This window comes from Homo sapiens, chromosome 1 (genome assembly GCF_000001405.40).
Source record: "Homo sapiens chromosome 1, GRCh38.p14 Primary Assembly".
Classification (NCBI taxonomy): Eukaryota; Metazoa; Chordata; class Mammalia; order Primates; family Hominidae; genus Homo; species Homo sapiens.
In genome coordinates this window covers 78,153,649-78,177,718 of record NC_000001.11, presented here as the reverse complement: position 1 = coordinate 78,177,718, position 24,070 = coordinate 78,153,649, and the positions used below count along the sequence as shown (strand labels likewise).

Genomic DNA, 24,070 nt, shown 5'->3' with positions numbered 1-24,070 from the left:
GTGGAAAATTCCATTTCCCAGGAGCCACTGCAAATGATGATGATTTAGGCATCTCCATGAATTAGAGGTTACTCCGTGCACCAGCTCCCCACCCTGATCTTGTTATTATCTACAGGTTTATTCTCCTGAGTGGGAGTATTTTCTCATTCCTCCACAGCTCCAGGGAGGCTGAGGCTTTCTCCTCAGGCAGAAGCTTCAGCCTCCTGGGAAGGAGATGAAACAGGGCAGTGGAGGAGTGAGATGACTATTGCCTCCTTTGGGCCCACAGGTGAACTTCTTTCTGACCAGGTGAGAATCTGCAAAGAAGGTAAGGGGCTGGAGTCAGTAGCCACAAATCACCAGGCGTTCTTGTCCTGTGAGAGGTGGCCATGTAAAGGAGGTGACCAGCTAGGGAAAGCTGAATCAATTCTAGACCTGCCTGTGACCAAGACCCTGCTTACCCCACCAAGGAAACTGCCTGAGAGACAAAAGAATAAAGTAAAGCATGTGCCAGCCCCCATCAACCAGAGGCAAGAATGTCATTAACCCATTTTTACTTTACTTTTAACAAAAATAGTTACAGAAGCTTCAGAAAATATAGGTGAAGAAAGAAGGGAGAAAAAGAGAGGAAAAAGCAGACTATATACATGGATAGGTGTGTTCATATGCAAAATGCTCTGCTAGAATTCATTTTTCCTTATTTACCAGTATATGCCTCAACAGGATCATTTTGAATAACTGCATTCTATTCAATTTTACAGACATACCATTTTAATCAATCCCATATTTTGGGATATCCAGTTTTTGTTTTGCTGTTATTATGGTTACTTCTTGGGGTGTCAAGAAGCCCTGGTTCAATACCAACTAAGCAATAGAGGGGAGTCAGACGAATGGAAATCAAAACATCAGCCTTTTTTTAAAATTAAAGTTGGATGGATGACATGTCTCAGGTGTGCAGCCCAAACACGGTACCTGCAACGAAACAGGGTTTTCCACACAGGCACAAGCAGAATTGGAAAACTGCCAGCCTCTCCCATAAAAGGAGGCCTTCCCTATAAAAGCTTCACTTGGCAGGGAGTCCATGAGAGCACAGCTGTCTGCAAGCAGACAGATCCCAAAGTGGAAGAATGGAGAGAGCAGAGCCCTGACTCATCAACGAAACAAGTTACTTCTTTTCCCCTGGAGAGAATTGTGTGGTGGAAGTGGGTTCAGAAGCATTACAGAAGTGGCTATTCTTCCACACAGAAACAGGGTGCCAGACAAAAGGAGGTCACTTACCCAGTATCATTCCATAAACAATGTTGCAGTGAATATCCTATAATGTATACATGTGTGCATTTGTCCTATAATTTTTTAGAATAAATTTCTAGAAGATTCCAGAGGCAAAGCTAACAGCATTTCTAAACCTTTTCACATATACTATCAACTTGCAGAGAAAGACTACAGATTTACACTCCCAAAAGCAATGGATGCAAATGTCCATGTCTTCTAACACTTTGCTATTGCAATCGGTTAAAAATGTTATCTCACATTGTTTTAGCTTCCATTTCTTTACTAGTAAGATTAAAATATTTTCATATACTGGTTGCACACGGTGCCTCACGCCTGTAATCCCAGCACTTTGGGAGGCCAAGGCGGGCGGATCATCTGAGGTTGGGAGTTCGAGACCAGCCTGGCCAGTATGGTGAAATCCCATCTCTACTAAAAAAATACAAAAATTAGCCAGGCGTGGTGGCTCACGTGTGTAATCCCAGCTACTCGGAAGTCTGAGGCAAGAGAATTGCTTGAACTCTGGAGGCAGAGTTTGCAGTGAGCTGAGATTGCACCACTGTACTCCACCCTAGGCGACAGAGCGAGACTCCGTCTCAAACAAAAATAAATTAATTTTTAAAAATAAAAATAGAAATAAAATATTTTCATATATTTATGGGCCATTTTTATTCTTCTTTTCTGACTCCTTTGATATGCGCTTGCCCATTTCTCTAATGAGATTTTCATTTATTCTTATTCATTTGTAAGACGCAAAAATATTTAAAGCAACTCACTCTTCTTTTTTTTTTTTTTTTTTTTTTTTTTTTGAGACAGAGTCTCGCTCTGTCACCCAGGCTGGAGTGCAGTGGTGCGATCTCGGCTCACTGCAAGCTCTGCCTCCTGGGTTCACGCCATTCTCCTGCCTCAGCCTCCCGAGTAGCTGGGACTACAGGCACCCACCACCGCGCCCAGCTAATTTTTTGTATTTTTTTAGTAGAGACGGGGTTTCACCGTGGTCTCGATCTCCTGACTGTGTGATCCGCTTGCCTTGGCCTCCCAAAGTGCTGGGATTACAGGCGTGAGCCACCACACCGGGTGCAACTTACTCTTCTTAATCTTAGAATTCTGATGCATTAGGTGGCAGTTAGAATCACTGAGCCTAACAAAAAACAATACTGCTGTTGAGAGTGATTATTTTCATTTTTTTAATTTTCTTATTGTCACAGTCATATATATTCATATTTCTTTAAACTTTTACCAATGCAAGAACCTATTTGAAGAAAAGACAGGTTATTAGAAGAGGTCAAGATTTACAGCCCACAAAAGTGCTTAGACTTAATATCTTCTGATATCAAGTTATACACTTGCATTTTTATTTCAAATTTTAAGTTACTGATTTTTGCTTCAGACATTTTTAATATAAAAAATCTTACATATGTACTTTATTTCAAGCATATTCAGTACATGGAAATCTGACATTTGAGAGGGAAAAAATACCTCAGAAAGTAATTACTTTTTTTTTTATTAAAAGAGTATCATCAGAAACTTCAAGAATAAACTACTGACTGAGGTAAGGTAACTTGTCAAAATATTGAGCTCATACAGATATTATATAATTAACAGATAGCTGCCAAGATGTTGATCCAGATTGCCAAGGATAGCAACTTTATATTTTTAAGTATTAAAATTGACCACTAACAAACAAAATATTCTTAGAGAAATTTTTATGGATTATCCAATATTTTTGTAAGAGGCCTTAAAGTAATGGATATTGAACAAATTCTATAAACAATACCTTGACAAGAAAAACTCCTTAATAATTCTTTCTATTAAGAGAACTTCCATTCTTAATAAGAACAATTATATTTCAAAATCTACTAAATCATCACATTTCAGAATTCTAAAAATTCCTGCTATTATGCATTGTCTTCATATTTCTCAACAAGTATAGCAATGCCTGTTAGATTCTTCATCATTTATCACCATTCATTAATTCAATAAACATTTTTAAGAACTTGCTAGCAAACATTTAGGAGAACTTTGTGGTATAGTTTTGGAGCTAACGATACAAAGACAAAAAGAGTTCTAACCCTCAAGGAAAACATTGTCTAGAGTTCATAGTCTAGTAGAAGAGACAGTCTATAGTTTATTGTAATGGTTAACTTTGTGGGATTGAGTTGACTGGGTTAAGGTATCCCCAGATAGCTGGCAAAATAGTATTTGTGGGTGTGTCTGCAGGTGTTTTTGAAGGAGATTAGCATTTGAATCAGTAGGCTGAATAAAGAAGATGCTCCCACCACTGTTGGCAAGCCATCACCCAATACACTGATGGGTGATTAAAATAAAAAAGTAGAGGAAGGGCAAATTTTCTCTCTGTTTGAGCTGGTACCTCCATCTTCTCCTGCCCTTAGACATTAGAGCTCCTGGTTCTCATGCCTTTGGACTCTGGAACTTACATCAGCAGCCCACCAGTTCTCAGGCCTTTGGCCTCAGACTAAATTATAACTGTCCCAGTTCTTTAGCTTGCAGATGACATATCATGGAACTTCTCAGACTCCATAAGTGCATGAGCCAATCCCCACAATAAATCTCCCTTTATACATCTATATCCTATTGGTTCTGTTTCTATGGAGAATCCTGACTAATACATTTATATAGTGGGGGGAATTAAGAAGGTAACAGAAAAATATAATTTATTGTAATGTCATCAAACACTGACTGACAGTCCAAGGTAGCAGCCACTAAATGAGGCTGACAAACCAAACATCAAAGGAGTCTTCCAGAAGGAAGTGACAATGAGTTCCTGGGTCCTAGAGAATGAGCAGATTCTATACAGGAGAAGAAAAAAAGGGTATTTCAGGTAGAAGGCACAGAGGCAGAATGGGTCACAATATGGAGAACTATTACAAGAAGTTTGGTTTAGCTGAAATATAGTTGGGCTGGGGATGGACAGTGGTGAGAGATTGCACTATAGAAAGAATAATAATACTATTTCAACATATATTATTGAAAACTTAGCATGTACCAGCCACTTTACTAAGTGCATTATATCTTACTGAATCCTGACAAAAAATGATGAAAAAGCATTATTCTTATCCTCCCTTTCCCCATTTTACAGCTAAAGAAAAAAAAGCCCAGTGAGACTAAGTGACTTATCCAAGGTCATATATTTTGCAAGTGGATAAGATAGTACCACAACTTAGAAATTCTGATTCCAGAGCCTAGGCTCATCTGCTAATCATGAACGGATTTTATGCTACACTAAGGAATTTGAACTTTACCTTGAAGGCCGCGAGAGAACAAGAAGGATTTTAGGTAGGAGAATGACATGGTGAATTTTATTTTTTAAAGGATTGTCCAAACTACTGGAGATGAGGGGAGGGGACAGACCTTAGACAGGACCACTATTTATGCATCTGCACGTTGTATTCTGTACAACTCTAGGAAGAGCCATTAAATTGTGGTCTGTGAATGGCAACTCCTGGTGCTGTGCAATGCACAACCTACATAGCCATACTTCATGAACCTGCCAGTTAGGACGCTATTACAGTGACTTAGTCCATTTTATGTTGCTATAACAAAATGCCTGAGACTGGGTAATTTATAAAGAAAAGAGGATTATTTAGCTCACGGTACTGTAGGCTGAGAAGTTCAAGGGCATGGCACTTGCTTCTGAAAATGGCTTTTGTGCTCCCTCACAACATGTCATTGAAGGTCAAACAGAAACCTGACACATGCAAAGAGCAGAAGACCTGAGGGGGCTCCTGGCTTTATAACAACCCACTTTCTGGGGAACTAATCCTTCCCTCAAGAACTAATCTGGTCTCTTAAGAGTAAGATCTCGCTACTGAAAGAATGGTACCACGCCATTAATGAGGGATCTGTCCTCATAACGAATGCATCCCACTAGGCCCCACCTCCCAACACTGCCACATTGGGAACCAAATTAAAACATGAGTTTCAGTAAGGACAAAGAAACCAAATCCAAACCACAGCATACAGTAATTCAAGCATAAAATGCATGAATGTTTGAACTAAGGGAGGGCGATGGCAAAGAAGAGAAAGAGTCATAATCCAGAGATATTAAGGATGTGAATCAACAGGAATTGATGACTAAGTGAAGATAGTAAGGCAAAGACAGCAGTAAAAGATAAGGTAGTTTCATTTTGTAACAGTCTGGCTAAGTTGGAACTACATTTTAGAATCTCCTTCCCTATTTGAATCTGGGTTAGGTTGGGCCAAAAGAGAAAATTGTACAAGATTTGTAAGGTGATGTGAAACAGTAGCCATTATACTCTTAAGGTCATCACTGTTAAAGGCGATAAAAGACAGACACAGGTGCCAGCAGGTATCAACCTGTCCTTGATCTTCCTCTCAATTCTACATCCTCTTCTGCCTCTGCACCCAGCTGTTCTTCCCATCAGCCAACCCTGCTGACCAACAGAACCCATGACCAGATGCCTACTGCAAACCCACAGAGGCAACAGCTAGGACAGGCCACAAGCTTCTGTAGACATCTACACTAGCCCCCTTTGCAGTCCCTCCCCAGCAGATTCCATGGAGCTCTGACTAGTGCACCAGGCCCGTATTTCAAGAGGGCTATTAGTCACTCTTTCTTGATTCACCAACTCTACTTTCTGAGCCCCTACTTTCCCAGCTTCATTTCCTGATCCCAGCAGAGTTTTTTTTTTTTTTTTGAGCAATTGAAATTATTATTCTAAAATCCATGTAGCCTGTAATCTCAGCATTTTGGGAGGCTGAGGTAAGCAGATCATTTGAGGTCAGAAATTCAAGACCAGCCTGGGCAACATGTGTGAAACTCCATCTCTACTAAAAATACAAAAATGAGCCAGGTGTGGCGGTGGGTGCCTGTAATCCCAGCTGAGGAGGCTGAGGCAGAAGAATCGCTTGAGCCTGGGAGGTGGAGGTTGCAGTGAGAAGAGATCATGCCACTGCACAACAGCCTGGGTGACAGAGCGAGACTCCATCTCAAAAAATAAGAAAAATAAAATCCTTGTAGAACTGCAAAGGGCCTATGATGGTCAAAACAACTGAAAAAGAACAAAGTTGAGGGACTTTTCACCATTTGATTTCAAGACTTAGAGAGGCTACTATAACAGAGCTATAAAGATGAACGCCCACATTAAACACAGGCGAAACATTTGGTAAAACTGTTGCCTTAGTTTTGGAGACGTTTGTATCTGGCTAAACTCCACACCTAAATAATGTACTGAGAATCCAAGCTCCAGAAATATAAGGAATTTCTCTTGGAACTGGCTTCTAACAACATTTATGCATGCAAACAAAAGCATTGTAAATCAGGCTTTTCTAAAAGAGAGGTGCTCAAAGTCAGCATGCTTGGTTACTGGTATTCTTAGCAGGACCTTCTGTTCTCTTTCATTCCCAGTCACTTTCTGACAGCTTAATCTTTCTAAATCTTGCTTTGGATCGCTTGAGCTTCTAGGAAGTACTTTGGATTACTGGAATTACAGACTTCATTCTAAAATTTCTTTTTATAAGCTCTTTTTATGTATTGCTAATCATATTACAGAGAGTAATATTGATGCCTTATTTCATCATACCTTTTTAAATCCGAGGGTTTACTGGTATATGCCTATTAGAAAAATTATGTCAGTATTACTGAATTTTATTCCCACACCACTGTGGTCTTGTTACCTTACTGACTATGGAGAGTTTGGTAATATAACCAGATAGATTTTCAGGATATGCCCAGCTTTATTCTACCTCATTTTAAAGTTTTTGGATTTTTTGGCTATCTGGAACTTTCAAATAGGTTTTTGTGAATATTTTTTATGCAACAAAGTTACTGAGCAGCTTGTTCAGATGTGTTCAATACATCAGGTGGAATTTCAGAAGCTTATTCTTCCCATCAGTTCACAAACATTTTATAAATAGTCCAGTGCCCTATGGTTTAACAGAAAATATGTCCATTGTGCAGAACCATATTTTCAGACTATATACACAAATGGAAAGATGGGCCACTTCATCACACTTTCAAAGAAATTAAGTCCTGTAAACTATTAACCCCACAAAATACTAACTTCATTTGGTTACAATGACTATTACTAAAAGCATTAGGCTGGATTTTCAGTGCTACAAGAAAATTCCAAGCATTTTGGAATATTAGAATAAGATTTAAGTGTACATTTCAATTGTGCATTTTTAAAGATTAAATGAATGAAAACGCATTCTCTTTTTTTAAAATTATAAGTAATGGTAAGCCTGATGTATATTTCAACATTTATTCTATCCTAATTTCTCAACAGATGATTGCAGTATAAAATTGTAAATGCATTTTCTTCTTAATGTTACCAAAACAGCAATTGGATGACTAGAAACCATGGTTTTAGAGGAATCTGGGTAGTCTTCCATGATGCAGTTTTCAGGATAAAAATATTTTTCAAAATATTTTAAGACACATCTTATCAAAAAGTAGAATTCTCTTTAGCGTAAACTTATAATTTCCATTCTCAAAAACTCTTAAAATTTTCCAAAAATTTATGTTTAATGAACGTTCTATATGCTACATTTTACCTGTAACAGATTTTTAAGTAAATACTAATTTACTGATGACATATTTTAATATTGCATTACTTTCTGTAATAAAATTAGCAATAAATAAGAATAATTTAAATTTTTTAAAAACCTCAGCATTGTTGCAAATATTACATTAAAGATGTGGCCTTTCCACCCAAACCTACTGGCCTCAAGGTAACTACTATTAAATTGAGAAAGAAGGGCATGGGGGTAAGGAAGCAAATAAATAAATGGGACTTGAGAAGGACATCTAGCCAAACTTTGGATATATTTACCAGCACGGGGAACTGACTGGAAGCCAACAGGTCAGAAACTTCCCAAGTTTCTGAGTAAATTGTACACCAAATAAATATGATCCCAACCTGAAAAAGTCTTTGACTATTTGAGCATTAAAGCAATCCTCAGAACCCCACACTTACATAAACAGGAAGGCCCTCAAGAATACACTCTCAAAGAGCCTCTTCAGATGTGGCCATGGAGGACAAGACATGAAGACCCTCCCAGGGGATGGACCAAGGGCCGTGGGCTAGGGAGTCCATCCCAGAAAGCAGAATCAGAATCTAATCAAGGAACTTCCCCACCCACAGGATAGACTGCCTTCATAATGCCTGCTTGATAGGATTCCATATGTTCCAGCAACCAGTAATTGCTGAGTGTCTTTCCTTCTCTTTTCTAAAAGACAGTTTTGGCTGGGCATGGTGGTTCACACCTAGAGTCCCAGCACTTTGGGAGGCCAAGGCAGGAGGACCGCTTGAGCCCAGGAATTCAAGACCAGCCTAGCAACATAGTGAGACCCTATCTCTACAAAAAAATAGAAAAAAATTTAGCCAGCGTGGTGGTGCATGCCTGTAGTCCCAGCTACTAGGGAGGCTGAAGTGGGAGGATGGCTTGAGCCCAGGAGGGCGAGGCTGCAATGAGCCACGATTTTGCCACTACACTGCAGCCTGGGCTACAGAACAAGACCCTGTCTTAAAAATAAAAATAAAAGATAGTTTTTACAATAGTCCTCCTGCCCCTGCTCCACCACTGTGTATTGAGAGAGGAAGGGATGAATAGCCTGTCTTTATTCACAGGTTGCCACCAGAAGCCCCATCCAGACACCATGGAGAAGACGGAGCATCATATGCAGACCCTGAACTTTGTGCTGCTGTTGCTGCTGCTGCAGCTGCATTGACCTCATGAGTTTTGGGGTTGCCTGTCCGGGTCTTGGGTTTGCCTCCCTGGGGAAAGTGTAAGTGTGTTCTGTGTAAGAGAGGAAGAACAGATCATTTGTGACCAGAAGGAAAGACTGTGGAGGACACTGGTTAGCTAGTCTCCAAAAACCACTTCCTTTTTCTCCCAGGCCCACTGCTACACTATGCTTCCCAGGCTTCTTTACAGCTGCCATAATATGTGTCTCTGCTCTGACCAATGAAATGTGGGCACCAGGCCTGGTACATTAAGCCTCTGACTCATGACCTTCTGTGCCCTCTCTTCCAATGGCTACACTGGAGATGACTAGGACAATCTTAGGAGTCAGTGTGAAGATGGTTGATCCAAAGATGGAGAAATCTGGGTCCCTGAAAACCTGAGTCCCTGAGGGTGGAGAAAGGCCACCCTCTAGAAGCAACTGCATTTGACTACTAACTGAGCAAAAAATAAATCAGCTTTAACCATATTAAACCCCTGAGATTTGGGAGTTTATTGCTAGGTTACCCTAATCTATATACAAGCAGAATGAAAAGCACGGGCAAAGACAGGAAGATTGGAATTCATGACATAGCCTGACGAGAGTGAGGACTTCTCTAGACATGAGGGACAGAGTGACAGAAGATGAGCTTGAAGGATTCCTTTGGGAAAATTCCTGCAGGTCTTGAATGCCATGCAAAGATTTGGACTTTATTCTACAGAAAATGGGGACCACTTAAAAAAAGTGTTTTTTCTTCTATTTAAAACTGCTATAGTAAATGCTGCCAGTAATCTGCTCTTCTAAAGTAACTAAAAATCCAAACTTTCACATATTATTGCCCCCCCAAAATTGAAAATGTGAAAAATGTAATCACCAGGCTGACAACAGCTTTTGCAGTCTGTTAAAGCTGCAACTCGTATCAAATGAGTCCTGCCAAATTCATTGAGAAATCAGTAACTATCAGAGAAAAACTCCCAACATGTAATATCTGCCTCTTCATGAAACTGTGTGTGTGTGTGTGTGTGTGTGTGTGTGTGTGTGCATGTGTATATCAGAGAGATATATATTTTTTCAGGTAATAAATGGTATTCATGCAACAAAACAAAATCTGAAATGGGGCTTCAATTAAGGCCACATTTACCAAACTTGTTCTGTGTGACAGGTGTTCTGATAGGTGCCTATGATAGAAAAATAAATGATCAACCAGGACTTCAAATCACTCCCAGATTAATGCAAGAGGTAGGCACATAAACAGGTTAACCATAAGGGCACATGCTACTATAAAAATAGGACTCACTAGATCTATGGAGGTTAGGAGAGAATCCAAGATGACTGAACTTTCTTAACCTGATCCTGAAGATCATTCTTGATCGGATCCAACCTACCTTTGCAGGCTGAAATTCCATTACTTTTCTTCACACGATTTCTTGCTCTTAGACCTATCCTGCACTTTTGCACTTCCATGCTTTGTCCTCTGCCTCGAATTCTCTCCCTGACCTATCACTAACCCCTGTTTACAGTGCCACTAAGATTCCACTCAGGAAATCTTCCCTGGTTCCAGTGGGATGTATCTTTTCCCTTCTTTAGAGTCTCTTCTTTTCTCTGTGTCCTGAGGAAGTTACCACTTTCTGCTTTGCATCATAGTTATTTTCTGACTTGCTGGTCTTGTCTGATCTCTACACTAAACCATAAGCTCCCTGAAGACCAGGAGTGTTTCTATTCCTTTCTTATACTTCTGGTATCAAGTATAGCAATTTGTAGGTACATGGTGGATGTTCAGTAAGTATTTTCTGAATGTCGGAATGTAAAACTCAAAAGCCACTGGAGACACTGAATCTACACACAACACTGCAACCCTCTCCTTGGCCAAGAGCTTCATTGTTGGGTGATATATGATGTTTTCCTGGGAAAGGAAGGAGGGCAATTTTGTAAGAGAATTAAGTGAGGGTGCACAAGGAAAGTAAAAATAGTGCTACATTCCTGGTTCCAAATAGTGTGTAGTTGTATAACAAAAATTAAAACTGTCCAATAAGCCAATATCTTAGCTTATTGATTAAAAGAGATTGAAAGCTCCAAATCTTCTTTATTGCAAAACAATCTTTTATAAAAGAATCTCTATTAACATCATGTCAGCATTCTCTTACAAAATCCAGCAAGGGGAAAATGGGGAGTTGCCTCCCTTTCTAATATCAACACCATTAATAAACAGTATTAACATTCGGGCAGCTGAATGGGGAAGAAATATTGACTATCTGTAATGTTCCCACATTGGTGCTTTAAGAGTTCTGGAAGCTAAAACATAGACAAATCAGCATTACTCAGTAGAGAAGGGCCAAAGCCAAAAGTAGAAAAGATCAATGTTTATAAAATATTGAAGTAAACCAAATTTGTTTACTAAGATCTGGAATATAATAAAGAAGGAGAAATACATTTGACATTTAAATGAGGACAAATTTAGGGAAAATAAAAATACGTACAAATTTTGTCTCATTTGGGTAAACTTTAGGTTTTAGTTAACTAAGACAAGAGCAAACCAGAATGAAAAGATAAATAAATCCATAATGTCTCCATAAAAATTTATTGAAAGTAGACTTTTGGGGGAGTGATCCTGAATCAGTTAGGTTCTAGGGCCTAGAGGCCACTGCAATTATTACAAGACCTGGAAATACATACTCACATCGAGCCTTGTCTATGGATTGTACACATGATATGCCTAACTCATATGTTCTACCAGTTGACATGAACACATAGATACTTTACTGATGAGTAACAGAATGTCAGCAGGTTAGGGAAGCCAGGCAGGCTAATCTCCCAGGGACACACTCTGTGGTAGAAGCTGTCAGAGGGAGGGAGGGGCCTTACTTTCTGGGGGGGCACATAATCAATGACAGGGGTCACGGTAGGAGCATGGGCTTTGAAAGGCCCTGAGTAGAAGAGAGAGGGGTAGAGCCAGTAAGACAGCCTAAGGCTGTATGGAAAGCAATGGAACCTCTCAGGGCTTCAGGAAAATTTCCACAATCATAAAATTCTGTATATGGTTAAATTTTTTGTGGAAAATGGTTAAAAGGCTGAGCTTCTGGATTTGACACAGGGCTCCTCCCAGACAGAAAAAAAAAAGTGGGAATAAAGCAAAATATAAGGAATTAGAGGGGGAAACTCAAAGAAAAACTAACAGCACTTTGCATGCTACAGCATTATAAGGCTCTGGAAATGGAGTTCCAGCCAAATTTCACCTGAGGTGAATGGGGACCTTGAGTAATACTTTAGTTTCTCTGTTGTTGTTGCTTTTGTTTTTGAGACAGGGTCTCCCTCTGTCACCAAGGCTGGAGTGCAGTGATGTAATCTCAGTTCACTGCAGCCTCAACCTCCCAGGGTCAAGCAATCCTCCAGCCTCTCAGCCTCTCAAGTAGATAAGACTACTGGCATGTGTCACAACTGGCTAATTTTTGTATTTTTTGTAGAGATGGGGTCTCACTATATTGCCTAGGCTGGTGTCAAACTCCTGGACCCAAGGGGTCCACCCACCTCGGCCTCCCAAAGTGCTGGGATTATAGGTGTGAGCTACCAAGCCCAGCTGTTGTTTAAGAGACATGATCTCACTCTGTGGAGATCCTTCTGCCTCAGCCTCTTGAGTCGCTGGGACTACAGACGCATGCCACCACACCTGGCTAATTATTTTTTTAATTTTTGTAGAGATAGGGTCTTGCTATGTTGCCCAGGCTGGTCTTAAGCTCCTGGCCTCAAGCAATCCTCCCACCTCAGCCCACCTAGTGGCTGGGATTACAGGCATGAACCACAGCACTCAGCCTTAGTTTCTTAAATAAATTCACTTTAAAATGTTCCTGAAATCTTGGAAGCTTTTTTCCACTATTTGTTTTCAGTTGATGGAATAATTTTTCAGTTGATTCCATTTCAGTTGATGGAATAATTTTTAATGGTTTACATTTTAAAACATTTTCATATTATAAGCATTAAGAACCAGCCGGGCACACTGACTCACACCTGTAATCCCAGCACTTTGGGAAGCCAAGGCGGGTGGATCACCTGAGGTCAGGAGTTTGAGATCAGCCTGGCCAACATAGCAAATCCCCTTCTCTACTAAAAATACAAAAAATTAGCTGGGTGTGGTGGCAGGTGCCTGTAATCCCAGCTACTTGGGAGGGTGAGACAGGAGAATTGCTTGAGCCTGGGAGGCAGAGGTTGCATTGAGCCAAGATCACGCCATTGCACTCCAGCCTGGGTGACAGAGCGAGAATCTGAAAAAAAAAAAAAAAGTTAAGAGCCATTATTTTGAGAGTATTAGCATATTATGGTTGATGTCAAGAATACAAAATTGTTAGCCTCATCAGGGAAGGCTGAGCTGAGTCCCCTGCAGGCCATGGTCTTTAAGGAGAGCATCCATCTACTACATCCCGACCCCACGTGCTATTGAGTGAATAGAATGCTGACAACAAGGAAGGCCCAGAATGGGTGTAAATGGTCACACCTTTCATCAAAATTAATGCTTTCCTTTCCTTGCTGTACCTAATTTAATCCCCAAACAACCCTAGTATCTCAATAATTAAGATGAAGAAACTGAGGCACAGAACTGACTAATGTCACACATTAGAGACTAAATTAAAGACTAAATTAAATTAAGAAATGAAAATGTTACACACATAACATTTTTTTTTTATTATTAAACTTTAAGTTCTAGGGTACATGTGCACAACGTGCAGGTTTGACACATAGGTATACATGTGCCATGTTGGTTTGCTGCACCCATCAACTCGTCATTTCCATTAGGTATTTCTCCTAATGCTATCCCTCCCCTAGCCCCCACCCCCCAACAGGCCCCAGTGTATGATGTTCCCCACCTTGTGTCCAAGTGATCTCACTGTTCAATTCCCACCTATGAGTGAGAACATGTGGTGTTTGGTTTTCTGTCCTTGTGATAGTTTGCTCAGAATGATGGTTTCCAGCTTCATCCATGTCCCCACAAAGGACATGAACTCATCATTTTTTATGGCTGCATAGTAGTCCATGGTGTATATGTGCCACATTTTCTTAATCCAGTCTATCATTGATGGACATTTGGGTTGGTTCCAAGTCTTTGCAATTGTGAACAGTGCCGCAATAAACATACGTGTACATGCGTCTTTATGGTAGCATGATTTATAATCATTTGGGTATATACCCAGTAATGGGATTGCTGGATCAAATGGTATTTCTAGTTCTGGATCCTTGAGGGATTGCCACACTGTCTTCCACAATGGTTGAATTAATTTACACTCCCACCAACAGTGTAAAAGCGTTCCTATTTCTCCACATCCTCTCCAGCACCTGTTGTTTCCTGACTTTTTAATGATTGCCATTCTAACTGGTGTGAGATGGTATCTCATTGTGGTTTAGATTTGCATTTCTCTGATGGTCAGTGATGATGAGCATTTTTTCATGTTTCTGTTGGCTGCATAGATTTCTTCTTTTGAGAAGTGTCTGTTCATTTCCTTTGCCCACTTCTTGATGGGATTGTTTTTTTCTTGTAAATTTTTTTGAGTTCTTTATAGATTCTGGATATTAGCCCTTGTCAGATGGCTACATTGCAAAAATTTTCTTCCATTCTATAGGTTACCTGTTCACTCTGATGGTAGTTTCTTTTGCTCTGCAGAAGCTCTTTAGTTTAATTAGATCCCATTTGTCAATTTTGGCTTTTGTTGCCATTTCTTTTGGTGTTTTAGTTATGAAGTCCTTACCCATGCCTATGTCGTGAATGGTATTGCCTAGGTTTTCTTCTAGGGTTTTAATGGTTTTAGGTCTAACATTTAAGTCTTTAATCCATCTTGAGTTAATTTTTGTATAAGGTGTAAGGAAGGGGTCCAGTTTCAGTTTTCTACATATGGCTAAGCCAGTTTTCCCAGCACCATTTATTAAATAGGGAATGCTTTCCCCATTTCTTGTTTTTGTCAGGTTTGTCAAAGATCAGATGGTTGCAGATGTGTGCCGTTATTTCTGAGGGCTCTCTTCTGTTCCTTTGGTCTATAGATCTGTTTTTGTATCAGTACCACACTGTTTTGGTTACTGTAATCTTGTAGTATAATTTGAAGTCAGGTAGCATGATGCCTCCAGCTTTGTTCTTTTGGCTTAGGATTGTCTTGGCAATGTGGGCTCTTTTTTGGTTCCATATGAACTTAAAGTAGTTTTTTCCAATTCTTTGAAGAAAGTCATTGGTAGCTTGATGGGGATGGCATTGAATCTATAAATTTCCTTGGGCAGTATGGCCATTTTCAAGATATTGATTCTTCCTATCCATGAGCATGGAATGTTCTTCCATTTGTTTGTGTCCTCTTAGTTCATTTATAGTTCTCCTTGAAGAGGTCCTTCACATACCTTGTAAGTTGTATTCCTAGGTATTTTATTCTCTTTGTAGCAATTGTGAATGGGAGTTTACTCATGATTTGGCTCTCTGTTTGTCTGTTATTGGTGTATAGGAATGCTTGTGATTTTTGCACATTGATTTTGTATTCTGAGACTTTGCTGAAGTTGCTTATCAGCTTAAGGAGATTTTGGGTTGAGACGATGGGGTTTTCTAAATATACAATCATGTCATCTGCAAACAGTGACAATTTGACTTCCTCAATTCCTAATTGAATACACTTTATTTCTTTCTCTTGCCTGATTGCTCTGGCCATAACTTCCAACACTATATTGAATAGGAGTGGTGAGAGAGGGCATCCTTGTCTTGTGCCAGTTTTCAAAGGGAATGTTTCCAGTTTTTGCCCATTCAGTATGATAATGGCTGTGGGTTTGTCACAAATAGCTCTTTTTATTTCGAGATATGTTCCATAAATACCTAGTTTATTGAGAGTTTTTAGCATGAAGGGCTGTTGAATTTTGTTGAAGGCCTTTTCTGCATCTATTGAGATAATCGTGTGGTTTTTGTTGTTGGTTCTGTTTATGTGATGGATTATGTTTATTGATTTGCGTATTTTGAACCAGCCTTGCATCCCAGGGATGAAACCGACCTGATCGTGGTGGAAAAGCTTTTTGATGTGCTGCTGGATTTGGTTTGCCAGTATTTTATTGAGGATTTTTGCATCGATGTTCATCAGGGATACTGGTCTAAAATTCGCTTGTTTTGTCGTGTCTCTGCCAGGCTTTGGTATCAGGATGATGCTGGCCTCACAAAATGAGTTAGAGAGGATTTCCTCTTTTTCTATTGATTGGAATAGTTTCAGAAGGAATGGTACCAGTTCCTCTTTGTACCTCTGATAGAATTCGGCTGTGAATACGTCTAGTCCTGGACTGTGGTCTGAGAGACAGTTTGTTGTGATTTCTGTTTTTTTACATTGCTGAGGAGTGCTTTACCTCCAACTATGTGGTCAGTTTTAGAATAAATGTGATGTGGTGCTGAGAAGAATGTATATTCTGTTGATTTGGGGTGGAGAGTTCTGTAGATGTCTATTAGGTCTGCTTGGTGCAGAGCTGAGTTCAAGTCCTGGATATCCTTGTTAACCTTCTGTCTCATTGATCTGTCTAATATTGACAGTGGGGTGTTAAACTCTCCCATTATTATTGTGTGGAAGTCTAAGTCTCTTTGGAGGTATCTAAGGACTTGCTTTATGAATCTGGGTGCTCCTGTATTGGGTGCATATATGTTTAGGATAGTTAGCTCTTCCTGTTGAACTGATCCCTTTACCATTATGTAATGGCCTTGTCTCTTTTGATCTTTGTTGGTTTAAAGTCTGTTTTTATCAGAGACTAGGATTGCAACCCCTGCTTTTTTTGTTGTTGTTGTTACCCATTCGCTTGGTAGATCTTCCTCCATCCCTTTATTTTGAGTCTATTTGTGTCTTTGCACATGAGATGGGTCTCCTGAATATAGCACACTGATGGGTCTTGACTCTTTATCCAATTTGCCAGTCTGCGTCTTTTAATTGGGGCATTTAGCCCATTTACATTTAAGGTTAATATTGTTATGTGCGAATTTGATCCTGTCATTATGATGTTAGCTGGTTATTGTGCTCATTAATTGATGCAGTTTCTTCCTAGCATCGACAGTCTTTACAATTTGGCATGTTTTTGCAATGGCTGTTACCAGTTGTTCCTTTCCATGTTTAGTGCTTCCTTCAGGAGCTCTTGGAAGGCAGGCCTGGTGGTAACAAAATCTCTCAGCATTTGCTTGTCTGTAAAGGATTTTATTTTTCCTTCACTTATGAAGCTTAATTTGGCTGGATATCAAATTCTGGGTTGAAAATTCTTTTCTTTAAGAATGTTGAATATTGGCCCCCAGTCTCTTCTGGCTTGTAGAGTTTCCGCTGAGAGATCCGCTGTTAGTCTGATGGGCTTCCCTTTGTGGGTAACTCGACCTTTCTGTCTGCCCTTAACATTTTTTCCTTCATGTCAACCTTGGTGAATCCAACAATTACGTGTCTTGGGGTTGCTCTTCTCAAGGAGTATCTTTGTGGTGTTCTCTGTATTTCCTGAATTTGAATGTTGGCCTGCCTCACTGTGTTGGGGAAGTTCTCGTGGATAATATCCTGAAGAGTGTTTTCCAACTTGGTTCCACTCTCCCCATCACTTTCAAACGTAGATTTGGTCTTTTCACATAGTCCCATATTTCTTGGAGTGTTTGTTCATTTATTTTTACTCTTTTTTCTCTAAACTTCTCTTCTCACTTTATTTCATTAATTTGATCTTCAATCACTGATACCCCTTCTTCCACTTGATCAAATTGGCTATTGAAGCTTGTGCATGCATCACGAAGTTCTCGTGCCATGGTTCCAGCTCTATCAGGTCATTTAAGGTCTCCACTACACTGTTTATTCTAGTTAGCCACTCATCTAACCTTTTTTCAAGGTTTTTAGCTTCCTTGTGATGGGTTCAAACAAGCTCCTTTAGCTCAGAGAAGTTTGTTATTACCGACCTTCTAAACCCTACTTCTGTCAACTCATCAAAGTCATTCTCCATCCAGCTTTGTTCCATTGCTGGCAAGGAGCTGCAATCCTTTGGAGGAGAAGAGGTGCTCTGATTTTTAGAATATTCAGATTTTCTGCTCTGGTTTCTCACCATCTTTGTGGTTTTATCTACCTTTGGTCTTTGATGTTGGTGACCTACAGATGGGGTTTTGGTGTAGATGATCTTTTTGCTGATGTTGATGCTATTCCTTTCTGTTAGTTAGTTTTCCTTCTAACAGGTCCCTCACCTGCAGGTCTGTTGGAGTTTACTGGAGGTCCACTCCAGACCCTGTTTGTCTGGGTATCACTAGCGGAGGCTGCAGAACAGCAAATATTGCTGCCTGATCCTTCCTCTGGAAGCTTTGTCCCAGAGGGGCACCCGGCTTTATGAGGTGTCAGTTGGCCCCTACTGGGGAGTGTCTCCCAGTTAGGCTACACAGTGTTCAGGCCCACTTGAGGAGGCAGTCTGCCCGTTCTCAGAGCTCAAACGCCATGTTGGGAGAACCACTGCCCTCTTCAGCTGTCAGACAGGGAGGTTTAAGTCTGCAGAAGTTATTTGCTGCCTTTTGTTCAGCTAAGCCCTGCCCACAGAGGATGGAGTCCTGAGGCAGTAGGCCTTGTTGAGCTGTGGTGGGCTCTGCCCAGTTCGAGCTTCCCAGCTGCTTTGTTTACCTAGTCAAGCCTCAGCAATGGCGGATGCCCCTCCCCCAGCCAGGCTGCCGCCTCACAGTTCAATCTCACACTGCTGCGCTAGCAGTGAGCAAGGCTCCATGGGTGTGGGACCCACTGAGCCAGGCACAGGAGAGAATCTCCTTGTCTCCTGGTTGCTAAGACCTTGGGAGAAGTGCAATATTTGGGTGGCAGTGTCCCGTTTTTTCCAGGTACAGTCTGTCATGGCTTCCCTTTGGCTATGAAAGGGAAATCCCCTTACCCCTTGCACTTCTCTGGTGAGGTGATGCCCCGCCCTGCTTTAGCTTGCCCTCCATGGGCTGCACCTACTGTCCAACCAGTCCCAATGAGATGAACCAGGTACCTCAGTTGGAAATGCAGAAATCACCCATCTTCTGTGTTGATCATGCTGGGAACTGCAGATCGGAGCTGTTCCTATTCGGCCATCTTGGAACGGATCCTTGGTGAAACCCCATCTGTACTAAAAATACAAAAATTAGCTGGGCATGGTGGCATGTGCCTGTAATCCCAGCTACTCGGGAGGCTGAGGCAGGATAATTGCTTGAACCCGGGAGTCGGAGGTAGCAGTGAGCCAAGATCACCATACATAACATTTTAAAACAAACTTTTCTCTCAACTCTTTTTCTTATAGTAACTTTACTAGTCTGGAATTTAATAATAGTACTTCATAGTCCCAAATTCTTAAGAACCTACAATTCCCTTTATAGCAATTAGGGATGTCATTTACATTTGTATCTCTTATTTTCAAAGTTAGTAATTGAAAGTCAACATTTAAAGTCTAATTTAAATGTAGACTTTCAATTACTATGTCCTCAGGGAATGCTCTAACTTACTAAGACATAATAAATTTAACATTAACTCTTTCAGAGTTAATCTTTCTGATAAAATATCTTACTTAAGTTTATTGTTTTTCATATTCACCATATTGACAAAGACAAGGGAAAAATGCCTGAGTGAGAGAAATGAGTACTGAGGAGGCAGAAAGGACAACTTAAATCAGGTGGTGATGATTATTGACAAAATTACAAGCAGCAGCAAATAAAATGCCTGGTTAAAAAAAGAAATTAAACTTCAGGTTTGTAAAAGTGATGTCTAAAACAAACGACCATATCCTACATTCAGAGCTAACAGTCAGAGTTAAGTCTACGTCTGAGTTAGGCTTCCCCTGAGAGCAGGGATCACACATCTATGATCCCAGCATGAGGTATAATGCAAACCTACATAATAAGTGCTCATTAAATTGTTTTGAAGCTGAAAAAAAATGGATACTTTTAGAAAGGTAATTTAGCAGAAGGGAATAGAAGGTAAAAGAAAGGCATGTGATGTCCAGGCATGTCATGTGGCTTGGTTACAGGCTTAGTAGGCACAGAAGCTGAGACTCCAAAATTTTATCTTGGATCAAAGCCTGATGTTTCTTTAGTTCAAGAAATACTTAAATTCTTCCCTATGGCAATAGAATATATCAAAAATTGAATATTTAAGAACCCCTACTATATACATTCCCCATTCACCTGGCATTTTTTTTTCCCCTAAAAAGTTGTGTAACCTTTCTAGGTTAATTAGGGGAAAATAATATTCATTTCAAATTGTCCTTTTCTGATATTTCTTTCTACCACCTTCAAATATTTGGGCTTTGTCTTCAACTTGAAAAATATTTTTTTAAAACACACACACTAGGATTTCTGTTCCTCTCAGTTCTAATTAGAAATGCAAGGTCAGCTTTACTTTATGTATAGCATTATGGGAATTCTGATGCAATCAGAGGTTGGACACTCTTCAAAGCCACAAGAATTCCCATGTAGATATATTTATGGCAATACAAAAATCTTTCCATTTCATATAGTACATTTCCTGGGAAGAAATCCAAAAATTTCACAATCAATACATGTACAGCTTCAATTAAATAAATTCTTCATCTCAAAGCTTTCAGAACAAGAGCACAATTGCTAGCCCAGGACACAGGGTCCAGAACTTTGCATCTGGAAAAAGTGCCTTGAGATTCTTCAAATCCCACTTTTTTGAAAGAATCATCAAAGTCAAATTGTGTGGACACAAAGTCAACTCACTAGGAGCAGATATAAAAAAGGAGACTTCATTAGGACTGAGGTGTGGTCAGAGATGAATGAAAACTGAACCCCACCTTAGGAGTCACACAGTAATATTTCTAACCACTCTTACTGATGAAGTTATAAAATCACAGAAATTTAGAATTGGACAGGCATTAACATATCAGCTAGATTCTAGAGCAAAACACTGCATCAGGTGCCTGACTATCCATGTTTTGTTAATTTTTTATGTTTAATGAAATGTGTCTGGAGATAAGCAAAGAAAGTCTGAATTTAGCATTTGTTAAGTTGCTGGTAATTTTACATCCAACTTCAATTTAAAAATTACTTGCCAAAAACCAAGGAGGTACAGTATGATATTTAGGAAAATAGTTATTTGGGAAATTCTGATATATGTTTTTTAAATTTTTAAACATCTGTTTTGAAACTGATTTTAGATAACACTGAAAAAGACAAGAATAAAAATCAGAAAAAACTGAAAAATATCACATGTATATTACTTCTGTGTCAAAGGGTGAAAATCATGGTCACAAGCACATGTCCCTCCTGGTTCTAGTGTGATCTCTGTCCCACTGGCCTGGTCAACTGCTTGAGTCTTAAAGTTCAACTAAAGCAGACAAGAGGCAGGTATTTTATTCTGACATTTCTCTATGGCTTTACAACAGCTAGATTTCACAATGTGACATCTTTTCCCCCAAAGTCTAAGACTTTTTAAATAACGAGGTCATAGCTGCTAAATATTTTCCCAAACTTGTTACCACTAGTCAGTCATTTGGTTCAATTATCGAGTCCTTTCATCTAACATGAGACAGAAATGGCCCTGATGAGACTTTCTAGAGAGTAATGTGCAGTCTACCTGGGAGAACTGGCTTTAAAAATTATGTCTTCCTTCAGCTCTGAAAATATATCATGTCTCTGAGATAAAGCAAAGCCTGAAACAAAACACAACTGTCATCCATGTAACCTTGATTTTCTGGGGTAGTCCAATTTTGTGTATTTAAATATAGTATTGTGTCTAATAATAGAAGTGTGATTAAATAAACCATAAAACATCAGACAACAGGCAACCATGCAGCCATGTAAAAGATGTTGTGGAAGAATATGAAATTGAAACTGTCTGTAATATGTGGTAGATTAGAAGACAAGATACAAAACACTATTAGAGTACAATCCTGATTTTGTAGGAAAAAAAGGCAGAGAGAAGACAAAGATAAACCAAAATAATAATTAATAATTATAATTATATTTGGTGATGAAATTATGTAATTTTTACTTTTACTTTGAACTTTTCCATATTTTTAGTTTTATAAGAACGTTATTTTATTAGATTTAAAATAATTGTATAAAGAAAATAGCTACTATCATCCAGTCAGCAAAAGATATCCTGAAAAAGTAAAAGTTCAATATTTTCTACAATGTTCAGTATATGCATCTTTTTCATGGCCTTTGAATTTGCTCTTGCCTCCTTTTTCTAGTCAAATCTGTATTATTGTGTATTGCTGCATAACAATTTACCCCCAAAACTTAGCAACTTAAAACAACACACATTTTCTATCTCAGTTTCTATGGGAAATGAGTCTGGGCACGGCTTATCTGGGTCCTCTGGGTTGCAGTCTCTGTCAAGGTGTTGATGTGGGTCTGCAGTCTCATCTGAAGCTCTGACTGACGAAGGAGCAACTTCCCAAGCTCACGCAGTGATTGTCCATAGCAGTCACTTCTTCACAGGCTGTTGGGCAAAGGACCTCACTTCCTTGCTAGCTAGTGGCCAGAGGTTGCCCTCATTTCCTTAACAATGCACCTCTTCCACATGGCAGCTTACTTCAATTCATCAAAGCATGCAAGCTGAGAAAACCACAGGGAGGATCTGCTAGCAAGACAGAAGGCACTATATTTTATAACCTAATCACAGAAGCAGCATTCCACCACCTTCGCCATATTCTTTTGGCTAGACACAAGTCATTAAGTCCAGCTTGCAATCAAGGATAAAAGATCACACAAGGGCATGAATAGCAGAAGATAGGGACCATCTTTGAAGTCTGCCTACCACATCATGCTTTTCAATTAGCATTTTTTTCCATTTCTCTGATATACCTTACAATCAGTCCTCCTCTTTTATAGCCTGCAATTTCCCTTCCTTCATAGTCTATAAATTTATAAAAATAATACAATAAAAATCAAGTGTTCTGCTTTACACTTTAAAGTTTGGGATAAAATAAATCATTCAAGAATTGTCTTTTTATGATGATAAATTGATGGATTTGGGGGGTTGTATATGTCTGGGGAATCTTATATCCCTTTAGTGGGAAAAGGAAAAACTTCCATGTCGTTTGTAATACCAACAAGCTATTTTTACAAACCTAACTTTTCAGTGTACATAAATCATGATACAGAGGCAGACACAATGGCAGAGTAGAAGGCTCCACCGATTATGCCCCCCACCACCCACAAGGACACCAAGTTAACAACTGTCTACACAGAGGAAACACCTGTTGGCTGAGTGCAGTGGTTCACGCCTGTAATCCCAGCACTTTGGGAGGCTGAGGCGGGCGAATCACTTGAGGTCAGGAGTTCAAGATGAGCCTGGCCAACATGGTGAAACTCTGTCTCTACTAAAAATACAAAAATTAGCCAGGTGTGGTGTCAGGTGCCTGTAATCCCAGCTGCTTGGGAGGCTGAGGCAGGAGAATTGCTTGAACCCGGGGACAGAGGTTGCAGTGAGATGAGATTACACCACTTCACTCCAGCCTAGGCAACAGAACGAGACTCTATCTCAAAAAAAAAAAAAAAAGAAAAAGAAACACCTGCATAAGTACCAAAAATCAGGTGAGCACTCATAGTACCTGGTTTTAACCTCATCTTGCTGAAAGAGGCACTAAAGAGATAGAAAAAATAATCCTGAGTCACTCAGGCCACCACTCCCTCCAAGGTGCAGGAGGAGGGGCAGAGAGAACACAGCAATCGTGAGGCATCATACTACATTAAGGACCTTGGGTGAGCCTCTCAGTCTTGCTGGCTTCACGTACCAGCACAGCCACAGCAGGTAGAGCACCAAGAAGGCTCTTGGGGTCTCTGATTCCAGGACTTGACTCTTGGATGGAATTTCTAGACCTGCCCTGCACCAGAGCAGGGCCCACTGCCCTGAAGGGTGACTCCAAGGGTCAGCAGGATTCAGGACAAGCTGACTTAAGAGACCTTGGGCCATAAGGGAACATTAATGATAGTCTGACAGTACTCCTCATGGCCAGGGGTAGTGGTGGCTATGGAGTGAGGCTCCTCTGCCTTTGGAAAAGCGGAGGGAAGAGTGCGAAGGACTGTGTCTTGTTTGACTGCCAGCTCAGCCACAATACAATAGAGCACCAGGTAGACTTCTAAGGTTTTTAACTCTAGTCCCTGACTCCTGTATGGCACTTCTGGACCCACCCAGG

At 40.0% G+C, this 24,070-nt stretch overlaps 1 pseudogene, besides 3 other annotated features; it reads left to right on the top strand.

The window, feature by feature from the left end:
- On the top strand, window positions 6,487-7,879 carry RNFT1P2 (ring finger protein, transmembrane 1 pseudogene 2; annotated as a pseudogene).
- Window positions 18,050-18,580: an enhancer, noted in NCBI's record as "H3K4me1 hESC enhancer chr1:78624823-78625353 (GRCh37/hg19 assembly coordinates)". NCBI's record gives its function as "activates a minimal SCP1, AML or CMV promoter by ChIP-STARR-seq in naive H9 embryonic stem cells {active_cell/tissue: H9 hESC(naive)}" and the evidence as "EXISTENCE:reporter gene assay evidence [ECO:0000049][PMID:30033119]".
- Window positions 18,581-19,111: an enhancer, noted in NCBI's record as "H3K4me1 hESC enhancer chr1:78624292-78624822 (GRCh37/hg19 assembly coordinates)". NCBI's record gives its function as "activates a minimal SCP1, AML or CMV promoter by ChIP-STARR-seq in naive H9 embryonic stem cells {active_cell/tissue: H9 hESC(naive)}" and the evidence as "EXISTENCE:reporter gene assay evidence [ECO:0000049][PMID:30033119]".
- Window positions 22,165-22,757: an enhancer, noted in NCBI's record as "OCT4-NANOG hESC enhancer chr1:78620646-78621238 (GRCh37/hg19 assembly coordinates)". NCBI's record gives its function as "activates a minimal SCP1, AML or CMV promoter by ChIP-STARR-seq in naive H9 embryonic stem cells {active_cell/tissue: H9 hESC(naive)}" and the evidence as "EXISTENCE:reporter gene assay evidence [ECO:0000049][PMID:30033119]".